Source organism: Homo sapiens, chromosome 1 (genome assembly GCF_000001405.40).
Source record: "Homo sapiens chromosome 1, GRCh38.p14 Primary Assembly".
In the NCBI taxonomy this organism is placed as follows: Eukaryota; Metazoa; Chordata; class Mammalia; order Primates; family Hominidae; genus Homo; species Homo sapiens.
In genome coordinates, this window is record NC_000001.11 from 19,197,334 (window position 1) to 19,210,273 (window position 12,940).

Sequence of the window (12,940 nt, forward strand, 5' to 3'; positions counted from 1 at the left end):
AATTATCAGCATGGGCCCGGCACAGTGGCTCACGCCTATAATTCCGACACTTCAGGAGGCCAAGGCAGGAGGATTGCTTGAGCCCAGGAGTTCAAGACCAGCCTGGGCAACAAGGCAAAACCCCGACTCTACAAAAAATACAAAAATTAGCCAGCCATGGTGGTGTGTGCCTGTAGTCCCAGCTACTCAGGAGGCTGAGGTGGGAGAACTGCTTGAACCAGGAGACGAGGTTACAGTGAACCGAGACTGCACCCCTGCACTCCAGCCTGGGTGACAGAACAAGACCCTGTCCCAAAAACAAAAAAAGTAAAGCATGTGCACTGTGAAGCACCTTACCCATTACGAACAGCAGTGGCATCTGCTACTGTTGCAGGCATTATGAAGAAGGAATTAGCTAAAACTGCATCTTGGAACCGATTGATATAGCGTAGGAAATATGGCAGGTTCAAACATACACGCAGTAGCTTCTCCGAGCCACCTAAATGAATGAAAACCACAACCTTACAAACAGGCCTTTGTCTGATGCTTGATTCTTATCCATATGACAGAAGCACACTTAAGGAATTTTTGACAGCCCAGAAATCAGCTTTCTGATAACAGTTGGGAGTCTTACCAAGCTCTTGAAGACTAGCCACGTTCTGAGCTATGAACACATTCTTGGTTTTGATAGCTGAGGCTTGATCTGTAGATGACTGCTCATCATTTTCTCCTTCCACCTGAAAAGAAACATAAGGCCTGTCAAGATACTATTATCTCTTCACCAAACCAACTGTCAAAAGTGAGCAGTAGCTGCACGGATACTCTCCAGACTCCCCAGTTAGTGAAGGGAAAATTCCTTACTCATGTTGGAGAAAATACAGGTTACATTTTCAGGAGGAGGGAAAAAATATACAGCTTTAAAATATATATATGTTCTATAACCAAAATGGAGTGATGCCTTTATATAGAAAACTGTACATACACCTTACATTTGTTAATTTGCATTGAGAGAAGCCTAGAATGGTCGTCAAAACAGTAATAACCGTGGACAGAAGAAGGAGTTGGGGTGAATTTTACTTGTTTTATTTTGTATTCCTCAATTTCTTTTGTCCCACAGACATGTATATCATTTTATATCACAAACATAAAATACATCACTTTTTCTCCCCTAGTGTTATCATCTTAACAAAACCCACAGAGAAGAAGACATTTGACTAAAGAAACTCACCAGAGTCTGTGTACTGATAGGTTGTGATGCTACAGTTCTAGGGTTAAAAACTGAGGTCAGCTGGTTCAAAAAATTCATCTGTACCTCCTTTTGCCTCAACTCAGGGCTTACTGGTGAGGCCAGCTCTTTCTGATCTTCCACTGTAAAATACAAAGGCAAAAAAAAGGGCTGAGGAAAGTGCCACTAGAAGGCAAAGGTGCCATGGAAAAGGTGCCATGGGGGTGGTCATGTGATCAGATCTGTCAAAGGAACACCCACCGTCTGAAAGTGTCTTCACTGTTTGGGGCAGCTTGGCGGATTTCATCATTGCTGTAAATGTGATAATTTCAGTTCTATCTAGTCGGCTACAGCCAGTGCACAGGCCCTTGATTAGGAGAATCAAGTGTTTCTGAAAAGAAAACAAATGCAAACAAAAGAAAACAAAAACAAATAGATCTTTCAGAAAATTCTACTCTTTTGGAAATTCTAACTGGCACAGGGCCAAATTTAGGTTCATATAAACACTAAAGCAAAGACTGCAAGCTGATGTCCTTAGACCGTATGTAGCTTATAGATTTGTCTTATTGTTCTCACAATATTTTTTTAAAATTTGAAGGGAATGAAAAGATTCACATGCAAATCTGAAATTCTCACGCTCAAATAATTCACAGTATAGCAACCTTGCACCTCCATTCCTGCATGGCAGTAATAACCCAGAGCCAAATAGTGGTTAGCCCCTTTAGTTGGGACCTGCAATCTTCTCAACTAGCACACTTTACTCATTTTCTGTTACCTACCTGGCCCCTGCAGGTATGTAAGTTTGCAATCCTTGAGAAGACTCTGTAGCCCCATGTACCAGAGGTTGGCAAACTACAGCTCCAATTCAAACACTGCCTGTTTTTGTAAATAAAGTTTACTGGAACACAGCCATGTTCATCATTTATATATTAATCTATGGCTGCTTTCACACTAAAAAGGCATAGTTAACTAGCTGCAACAGATAACATACAGCCTGCAAATGATTTCCTATCTGGCCTATTACAGAAAAAGTTCACTGACCTCTACTCTATTCCACTAGTCAGTCACAACACTGCTTCAGAATAGGGCAAGAAATGGGCCCATCACTCTCACCTGGGACACAGCACAAGCCTCATCTGGATTCTCCAGACGCAGGAGAGAAAACTCAATTAGAACTTTACAGGCTGCTGCCACTGACTGAAGTTGGTTCCGGGGAACTGAGAAAGTAATAAACATTACTCAATTTCAGACTGCTCAGCGTTGGTCAATAAATTAAGCAAAGTAAGTATTGAGCTCTATGTCCAACATTCCCAATATCGTAACAATTATTCAGAGCCAAAAACCCAAGGGGTAAACAAAGGCATTTTGACATCAATAACTACCAGATCAATTTATCTCATATTTACTAGAAATCAGGATAACTATAATAGGAAATACTTACATCACACCAGTGCCAAGCACTTCAAAGGTATTAACTCATTTAATTCTTAAACCAATTCTATGAGGCAGATATTCATATTATCCCTGTCCATTTTTAACAGCTGAGCTAACTAAATGACTTGACAAAAGTCACATAGCTAGGTTTAAATCCAGGCAGTCAGCCTCTAGAGTTCATGCTCTTAACCACTAAACCAGGAGTGTGCAATCTTTTGGCTTCCCTGGGCTACACTGGAAGAATTGTCTTAGGTCACACAAAAAATACACTAACAGTAACAATAGCTGATGAGCTTTAAAAAAAAAAAGGCAAAAAAAAAAATCTCATAATGTTTTAAGAAAGTTTATGAATTTGTGTTGGGCCAAATTCAAAGCCATCACATGGTCCTCAGGCTGTGGGTTGGACAAGCTTGCACTAGACAATACTACTATTGTAGTAGTATTCCCATGGATTCTAAAATGACGTCCTGGTCAGGCATAGTGGCTCACACCTATAATCCCAGCACTTCGGGAGGCTGAGGTGGGTGGATCACTTCGGGAGGCTGAGGCGGGTGGATCACTTCAGCCCAGGAGTTTGAGACCAGCTTGGGCCAGCATGGTCAAACCCCATCTCTACCAAAAATACAAAAATTAGTCTCATAACCCGATCTCAAAATAAATAAATAAATGGATAAAAATTTTAAGTATAACTTAAAAAAATAAAATGACTTCCTTACATAAAGTTTCTCCAAGCTAAAACTGATTCTTCTGCCAGTAGCCAGAGCTTATAATAAACAGTATTGGACACTGAAGGATTCCTCAGCAACTGGAAGAACTGTCTTGGGCCACACAAAAAATACACTAATTCTTCAATGTCCTTTCAGTTTACTTGCTTAGCAAACTGTTCAAATAAACAAATATGGGGACTCCTGCCTGTAATCCCAGCACTTTGGGAGGCTAAGCTGGGAGGACTGCTTGAGCCCAGGACTTCCAGACCAGCCTGGGCAACATAGAGAGACCCTGTCACTATAAAATATTAATTGGGCTTGGTGGCTTGTGCCTGTAGTCCCAGCTAGGACTGAGGAGGCTAAGGCAGGAGAATCACTAGAGCCCAGGAGTTCAAGGATGCAGTGAGCTATGATCACGCCACTGCACTCCAGCCTGGATGACAGAGCAAGACCCTGTCTCTAAAAAAGCAAATTTAAAATAATTAGAATTCTTCAGAACTATTTGAGTCAAGATTTTAGACAAATGTAAAAATTCAGAAATGTAAAATAGGGATTAGCCATTTTGGGGGTAGAAAAATGAAGAAAATGGAGAACTGAAGTTGAAATCCCTTCATATACCAGAGAACACAAAGGAGAATCCACATCCTCACCAAAACCAAATAAGGAATAGAGCCTTGAGTGGCTGCTAACTCCAGAGGTCAGTATCCACCACCGCCTTCCCCCCAGGGAAATTAACACACCAGTAATTACATGAGAAATCAATAAAATGCTTTGGATTAAGAAGGGAAAGGAGGTGGACTTAATACTTATAAAGCAGGTGTCCAAGCCAAGTAGTTTTAAAATTCCACTTGGTTAGCCTAGGTAAGGGAACCTCTGGAGCCTCATCCTAGCTGACAGTTGTCTCTACTCTTGGGTGAGCAGCTTAGGAGTGCTAAAACCTAGACTTCATTAACAACTTTTTCAGATACACTAACGAGAGGATAAACAATCCCCCTATTCACAAGCCCTCAGAAGGGAAGGACAAGAGTGGAATACTTACTGAGACTGCAAACTGTTGTAATATAGTGTGTGGAAAGTGCAACAAAAGATGAGTAGAATGGCTCGTACTGCTTCTCATGGTGCAGGATTTCTGATTCACTGTAAAAATAATAATAATTCAGCCAGCATCTGCTTAGCGCTTACTATGTGCCAGATACCCCTTTATGGATATTACATTATTTAATCCTTACTACCTGGTAGATAGTATCATCAACCTATTCCCCTTCAAGACTGGGAAAGATGAGACAGGTGGATCACCTGAGGTCAGGAGTTCAAGACCAGCTTGGCCAGTATGGTGAAAACCCGTCACCACTAAAAATACAAAAATCAGCTGGGCGTGGTGGCACGTGCCTATAGTCTCAGCTCCTCAGGAGGCTGAGGCAGGAGAATTGCTTGAACCTGGGAGGCAGAGGTTGCAGTGAGCCGATATTGAACCACTGCACTCCAGCCTGGGTGATAGAGCAAGACTTCATCTCAAAAAAAGATTGGGAAGGTGAAGCTTAGAGAATTAAAATTAAATATCTCATTCAAGGTCATCAGGCTAGGGAAGAAGCAGAGACTAACAAACAGAAAACATTTTCAAAGTCAAGCAGAACTAACGAAATGCAAGTAAAGACCTAACAGGATATCAATCTGTTCTATATTACTGACTGGCAAAGACCAACAGCTAATATGCCTTCATTATTGATAGCCAAAAAGGGGCAGACCAGAATACTCAATATACTGTTAGTGGGAATACAGACTAAAGTAACCAATTTTAGACCAAATAAGGCTGGCCTGTAATGCAGTAACTTAAAAGGAATCAACAACTCAAGATAAGAAGTCATATGATCAGTGCTAAAGTCCAAAATTCACTGGATAACAGAGTTATCCCCTACACCATCCCCCTGACTGTAGACTAAAGCGAGATCACAAAAGAGTCGGTGATTTTTTTTTTTAACCACATCCCTTATCCTTAGCTGGGGAAATGCCCTCTTCTGAAAAAATCTAGAGACCAACTAGGTTTAAAGGCTGGATACATTTAAAGTCATTGTATCAAATCAGGTGCTAATCCACAATTGATGAAACATGGGCCGGGCACGGTGGCTGGCCGGGTGTGGTGGCTCATGCCTGCAATTCCAGCACTTTGGGAGGTCCACGCAGGTGGATGACGAGATCAGGAGTTCAAGACCAGCCTGGCCAAGATGGTGAAACCCTGTCTCTACTAAAATTACAAAAATTAGCAGGTGGTGGCACGCGCCTGTAATCCCAGCTACTCAGAAGGCTGAGGTAGAGAATTGCTTGAACCCAGAAGGTAGAGGCTGCAGTGAGCCGAGATCGGGCCACTGCACTCCAGCCTGGGTGACAGCGAGACTCCGTCTCAGAGAAAAAAAAAAAGAAAGAAACATGAAGGTAAAGCAAAGACTAAAATATATTTTATTAAATGGAAAGAACAACAGTGTGGTTGAACAGTTTACTTAGTGAGTCAATCCCCAGCAGAAGTATCAACCTATGGTGGGACGCATTGTAGCTGGTGGCTCAAGCCTGTAATCCCAGCAGTTTGGGAGACAGAGGCTGGTGGATTATCTGAGGCCAGGAGTTCGAGACCAGCCTGGCCAATATGGTGAAACCCCGTCTCTAATAAAAATACAAAAATTAGCCAGGTGTGGTGGCACCCACCTGTAGTCCCAGCTACTCACGAGGCTGAGGCACGAGAATTGCTTGAACCCGGCAGGTGGAATTGCAGTGAGCTGAGATTGTGCCACTGCACTCCAGCCTGGGCAAAAGAGTAAGACTCCAACTCAAAAAAAAAAAAAAAGTATCATCCTAAGAAGGGAAATGTAAACAGAGTGAACACTCCATTCACTGCCTGCAAGACTATCTGCCTGCCAAATGAACACAGGAGCCAAAAGGACAAGTCACTATTTGGAAGGTGCCAATGTCGGTGATGAATCACCTTGAATAACACTTGAGAGTCTGGCATTGCGAGCACTTTGCTATATGCAGATCAAGGATAAATGGGTATGTATCAAAGATTAGTCCCTTAGAATAACTCCTTCACCAAGAAAAAAATATTTATGGAGCATCTATGATGTGTGCAAGGATCCTCCTGCCCACTAAGGGTCCTTTTCCATTTGTCAGGGTACATAAAAAGGAGAAAATAAAAACCTTTCCACAACAAGCAGCACTCAAAAGTTGCTGGTGACTAAACACAGTTTTAAGGCTCACATGTACAGCAGAAAACTCCCTACTAAATCCCCCTGTTTCTACCTCATATACTTAGTTTTTCCTTTACTTCCAGCCTTATACTTTATTTTTTTGAGACAGAGTCTCGCTCTGTCGCCCAGGCTACAATGTAGTGGCACTATCTCAGCTCACTGCAACCTCCACCTCCCAGGTTCAAGCGATTCTCCTGCCTCAGCCTCCTGAGTAGCTGGGATTACAGGTGCGTGCCACCACGCCTGGCTAATTTTTGTATTTTTTTTTTAGTAGAGATGGGGTTTCACCATGTTGGTCAGGCTGGTCTCAAACTCCTGACCTCGTGATCCACTGCCTTGGCCTCCCAAAGTGCTGGGATTACAGGCATGAGCCTCCACGCCTGGCCCCACCCTTATACTTTCTTATTTGTTTTTCTAAGGCTTTCCCACTCTGTCATTTGATGTTATTTTACTGGGTTTATTTCCAAAGTTCCTGATTTATTTCCAAAGTTCAGAGCTGCTTATCCCCACTTTTTCCAGCTGAACAGGTTTACCAAATCTAAGAGAAATACTGCCCACCCAAAGGATGGACTTAGCCTATTGCTTTCATACCCATTCTGATAATGAAATATATAAAAAAAAATATATATATATATAGGAGTAAACTCATTTAATTGCCTGGTTCAGTGTCATCCTATTGTGATCTAATGAACCCAACTTCCTCCCCTAGAAATACGTAACATCCTTATTCCAATAAAGAAACAGGAAGAATGCATTTTGGGGAAAGATAGACATTGGCAGAGGAAAAATGGAACGGTCTTCAGCTCTACTTATAATGTGCACTGGGCAACTAAGGATAAACCTGGGAAAAATTGGTTTTGAAGACTTGAAGGAGGAAATAGAGAAGTAATGGACATTGTCATATCTCTTGATTTTAAAGAAACAGTGTGCATGAGTCAGCTAATAGGGATGTGCTGCCATAATTTCCAACCTCACCCTCATGCCCTGAGAAAATGTTAAGACACCAAGACACCAGAGAATAAGAAATGGAAAAATGGAACAAAGGACAAAAAGTTAAGTAGGAAGGAGAAGAATGAAGAAATGGAAGCAAATATAAGCACGGGAAGGAAAATAAAGAGATAGAGGTGAAAGTACATCTTTGCTCTGGTTGGTCAAGCATCTTCCTGAATCACCTGTCGCTCCTAATGAACTGCAACAACAGCACCGCTGAGCGTGAAACACTGTGGATAGACAGAGAAGCTGAAGCTTTTATACTCTATACCAAATAAATGTGATGCAGAGTACAAAGGGAAACAGCAGCTAAGCAGACAGGTCAGAGAAATCCAATTTGATGTGTAAGTAAAAAAAGAACTGGCAGGGTCTGGAAAAATCTAGCTTTTTAGGAAGAAATGGAATCTGAGGAGGGGCATCATAAAAGACTAAGGATTCACCTCCCTTCTCCCTCTTCAATATCATACTATCAATCTTTTTTGTAAATGGTAGAAATTCCACAAGCTCCTTTCCCCTCATCAGTTTCATGTACTCTCTAGTATATATAGAATCCATTATGCTTATTCCTATCTTTCTATCTATAATCTGCTGCATGTTGACTAAAGAACTGAAAACTGTCTTTCAGATACTTCCCTCATACTCTTGAAAAATCTGTGGTTAATGTGATACTAAGACATAGAAACAGTAGTCACAAAGACTAATCTCACAATCATAATCTATCTTTTGGTGGCGGGCTTTTTTTTTTTTTTTCCTGTAGGTCAATTATCAATTTGCATCCTACTGCTTACAAATTCAAAAGATCACAGCATTAGTGCATCCCTTTCTTCCTTTGAAGACTTTTAGGAAATGACTGTGCATTATCTAATGGGAATGTTGTGACAGTCTCCCCCTTCCAAAGTAGGTGTCTTTGCCCTAAATTCTAGTGAATATCTGGAAACAGAAACCTCGAACAGGTTTATCATTAAAAAGGCCAGGTCAGCTCAGAAAGAATTGGCTCAGAGAGAAGGAGCATATTTCTTTTTATCTACAAAGAGTCAATCAAATTGTCGAATGATAACCATGCTCACCAGCGTATCTTGCACAGAGTTAAGAAAGGAATTATCTGTACCTTAACAGAGAAGGCTACATTCAGCAATGATTATACTAACTAATCCCATGGACGGTATGTGCTCCATTGAGCTAGTTCTGCTCCATTTCTGGCTTGGAAAAGTAACAGTGTGTTTAAAATGTTCTTTAAACTATGTAATAAGTAACAGTGTTAAAAAAGAGTTTAAGCTGGGCCCGGTGGTGGGAGCCTGTAGTCTAGCTAGCTACTGTAACTACTCAGGAGGCTGAAATAGGAGCATCCCTTGAGCCCAGGAGTTTGAGGCTGTAGTCAGCTATAATCGTCCCACTGTACTCCAGCCCAGCCAACAGAAGGAGACCCTGTCTCTCTTTTTTTTTTTTTAGATGGAGTTTTGCTCTTGTTGCCATAGCAATGGTGCGATCTCAGCTCACTGCAACTTTCGCCTCCCTGGTTCAATCAATTCTCCTGCCTCAGCCTCCCGAGTAGCTGGGATTATGGGCATTACAGGCGCGCGCCACCACGCCCAGCTAATTTTTTGTATTTTTAGTAGAAACAGGGTTTCACCATGTTAGCCAGGCTGGTCTCAAACTCCTGACCTCAGGTGATCCGCCTGCCTTGGCCTCCCAAAGTGCTGAGATTACAGGCGTGAGCCACTGCGCCCAGCCAACCCTGTCTCTTAAAAAAGAAAAAATATTTTAGTAGCCTTTACTACTAAAAGACATGCTAGCTAGCTACATGCTATAGAGAAAAATCTTCCCTTTAAATAAATTCAGATATCTTTTTCTTTTAAAACATCCAATGACTTGAGAGTATGCTTTCCAACTCATCCATGTTGATCAATTCCTCCTCTATTTCAGTTTGGTTGCAAAGTCAAACTTAAGAAACAGGGGTTAGACCTAGGAACGTTTAATCTACCTTTTCTTCAAAAGGTCAATTTCAACTATAAAAGAAGGTAGAATGTGGTGTACTGAGGAGTCTCAAGCACGTCATCATTCTCAATGGTCAAGAGATAAATACAATGGCTAAGCAGGCTACCAGGTCGAAAGTAAGAGTTGGCATGATGGAGCCAGGATATCAAAAAAGGAAGCAGAGAGTAGTAGACTGCAACAGAAAAACAGATGGTCCCCGGTGACAAGGAAGAAAAACATGGCAGGTTTAACAAGAGAAAAAAACCAGGAAACTGCAGAAGATGGGAGTGGCAACACAGAACTAAAGTGGCAGCCTAGACATCTCAACCTCTGATTAGCTAGACAACAAGGCCCACCTCAGCATCTACAGTGTTGGCTTTCATCTGGTACTATAGCTTCCTATGCAAGACATACTCCCACAATTCTGAGACCTTTACTTTTTAGAAAGACAAATAAATAAAACCTTTGGGCTGGGTGCAGTGGCTCACGCCTGTAATCCCAGCACTTTGGAAGGCCAAGGCGGGCGGATCACCTGCGGTCAGAAGTTCAAGACCAGCCTGACCAGCATGGTGAAACCTCGTCTCTACTACAAATACAAAAATTAGCCGGGTCTGGTGGCGCACATCTATAATCCCAGCTACTTGGGAGGCTGAGGCACGAGAATCACTTGAACCTGGGAGGCGTAGGTTGCAGTGAGGTAAAATCGTGCCACTGCACTCCAGCCTGGGTGACACAGCAAGACTCTGTCTCCAAAAAATAAATAAATAAATAAAACTTTTGAAAACCAGAATAATGATAGCAGGGTATAATTTGTGTGCTCCAAGCTAGGGGTTGGCAAACTATGGCCTGCAGGCCAAATCCAGGAAGTCACCTGTTTTTGTATGGCTAAGAGTGGTTGAAAAAAAAAAAATCAAAAGAATAGTTTGTGACATGTAAATATTACATGAAATTCAAATTTCAGTGCCCATAGATATAATTTTAAACACAGCCATGCCCATTCATTTATATATGGTGTGTGGCTGCTTTCACACAATGATGGCAGAGTTAAACAGTCCAGACAGAGACCACATGTCCCAAAATTATCTACTATCTGGCCATTTACAGGACGTTTGCCAACGCCTGCTTTATAACAAACTGAACACTTGATACGTTTAGCTGTTCTCACTGTAAAGAACTTGTAAGCCAGGTATTTCTTCTGGAAATTTTTCTTTAGATCATACTCCTCTCACACAGCCTGCAGAGGACACATAGGCTTTCAAAGCTAACTGAGCTCCAAAAACCAGAAGACTTAAAAGATCTTGCCTTCCGGCTGGGCACGGTAGCTCATGCCTGTAATTCCAGCACTTTGGGAGGCCAAGGCGGGTGGATCACAAGGTCAGGATATGGAGACCATTCTGGCTAACATGGTGAAACCTCATCTCTACTTAAAATACAAAAAGTTAGCTGGGCGTGGTGGCAGGCACCTGTAGTCCCAGCTACTTGGGAGGCTGAGGCAGGAGAATGGTGTGAACCTGGGAGGTGGAGCTTGCAGTGAGCTGAGATGGCGCCACTGCATTCCAGCCTGGGTGACAGAGCAAGAATCCATCTCAAAAAAAAAAAAAAAAAAAAAAAGAGATCTTGCCTTCCAATAAATGCGTTACCAAAGACCCATCAGTTTGGACTTATTTTCTAAGCCATAAAGAGAGATCTTATTAATGTCTACAAATACAACTCTTGATTATTTGTACAAACAGAGGGTATGGCAAAGACCACTACCACATACATGGCAAAATTCAAACCTAGTGATGTATTTGGTTGGAGGGTGTTCCTTAAGTATTACAGCTTTAAAGGTGGCCCCAGAATACAGGATTTATGGAAGGGTGTCAACAAATTATTAATATTTTATAACCTATCCAGCTCATGTCCAGAAAAACATAAAAGCAAATGCTCTAAAAAGACTGGAACGTTACTGATTCTACGTAACATGAGTATGAGTCAGGAAAAATACTGCCAATCCAAATGTTTAAAACAAAAAGCAGCCACGTAATTTGAAAGTAGTATATTTGAAACCTGTTTACATCTTCAGAACATTCCTGGCCTGATGATTAGATAGCAAAATCCGTCTGTAAAGCTGACTGTGAAGTTACCAAACTCAACCATTATTTTATTATAATTTGTTAAAAACTCTGCATCCAAAGGATTACAAGTCTACAACAAGAAAAAGCACAAAAACAATTTGTCAAACCGTGGGCCTCCTTTGAGTAACAAATAGCAATTTTTAACCTCTGGATAGCAGCTAGATATACCCTTGTCATCGTGAAGCTAAAATGACCCAGTTAACAATTGCAGGGAGTTGCTGAAATGAGGTATGGCTAGAAAAATGAAAGTCAGTCTGGCTTTAAAAGCAAAAGTCTACCATTAAACTAATGAAAGACTGCTCTGAGCACAGTATGTCAGGAAAAGGCAGGCACTCTGAGATCACCATCTTTGTACCTACATAACTGTCACTAGCTAAGAATCGCTGTGCAAAAAGACAAAAACACACAAAAGGAAACCAACAGATAGTACCGTTTGTAAAAGAATGTGATGATATTTTAATGCGAGGGGGATGGGAGGCAGCAAGAGAACACACACACCACACATCCTCTGGGAAAATGATCTCTCAGACACACACTGAAATGTTTTTAATCAAAGACCGATACAGTAGGAATGCACAAGGAGTGCAACGTAAAAAGAGGTCATCAATGTAGCTAGTGGCTTCAGTCACAGAAATAGCACGTGCCCCCACTGATTACAGCACCGCGGGGAGACCGTTATTAAATTATACCGTACGGCTCCGCTCCGGCCCAGGCTAGGAGGATGAGTGCGGGCGAGAAATGCAAACTCATCTGTGACTTGACCCAAGGGGCAGCCCCGTGAACATTCCCTTAAGAGGGCGAATGCATCTCACTCTCAACCATGTCCGGCCACGCCCTCCCGCAGGGAGGCCGCTAAAGTTTTGCTCGAGAGGGGAAACTGAGGTAGAGGTGATTTACATGCGTTGGCGGAGGGAAACCCAGGCAAGCCAGTCTCCCCGGGCCCGGGACCCCGAAGCCGTGGCTGTGGCGGGGATCCTCAAGGGGGCAGGGGGCGGCCCGGAAAGCGGGTCCAGACGATCCGGCTCGAAATCCCCTCCCCCCACAACAGCGTCGCCCGCCAGAGCCGCCGCCCGGTACCTCTCGATGACTGAGGCCACCAGCTGCGGCAACTCCTTCATCTCGAAGGCGGAGTAGGACGCGGACAGCAGGGGCCGCACAGCCACCTCCCAGCCCGGGGTCGTGTCCGCCCCCGTTGCCGGGGTCCCCGGCGCCGGAGCCGCTGCCGCCGCCTCTTCGCCGCCGCTCGTCGCCATCTTCCGTCGTACTACTGCGGCTCCC

The 12,940-nt window shown here is 42.8% G+C and overlaps 1 protein-coding gene across 50 annotated transcripts in view, besides 2 other annotated features; it reads right to left on the reverse strand.

Annotated features, from left to right (window-relative positions):
* Positions 1–12,933, reverse strand: part of UBR4 (ubiquitin protein ligase E3 component n-recognin 4) — a 135,757-nt gene extending 122,824 nt beyond the window's left edge. For all 50 annotated transcript variants that reach the window (XM_047416518.1, XM_047416514.1, XM_047416523.1 and 47 more), the window contains exons 1-7: positions 12,740–12,933; positions 4,385–4,482; positions 2,318–2,421; positions 1,466–1,595; positions 1,208–1,347; positions 614–716; positions 337–478 (exon numbers count right to left, since the gene is read on the reverse strand). In XM_047416518.1, coding sequence (XP_047272474.1) covers positions 337–478; positions 614–716; positions 1,208–1,347; positions 1,466–1,595; positions 2,318–2,421; positions 4,385–4,482; positions 12,740–12,915 — 893 coding nt within the window. In that variant the 5' untranslated portion in view covers positions 12,916–12,933. The remainder of the gene's footprint in view (positions 1–336; positions 479–613; positions 717–1,207; positions 1,348–1,465; positions 1,596–2,317; positions 2,422–4,384; positions 4,483–12,739) is intronic.
* Positions 5,004–5,505: an enhancer, noted in NCBI's record as "H3K4me1 hESC enhancer chr1:19528831-19529332 (GRCh37/hg19 assembly coordinates)". NCBI's record gives its function as "activates a minimal SCP1, AML or CMV promoter by ChIP-STARR-seq in naive H9 embryonic stem cells {active_cell/tissue: H9 hESC(naive)}" and the evidence as "EXISTENCE:reporter gene assay evidence [ECO:0000049][PMID:30033119]".
* Positions 12,603–12,922: a silencer, noted in NCBI's record as "silent region_350". NCBI's record gives its function as "represses an Ori minimal core promoter by ATAC-STARR-seq in GM12878 lymphoblastoid cells {active_cell/tissue: GM12878}" and the evidence as "EXISTENCE:reporter gene assay evidence [ECO:0000049][PMID:35858748]".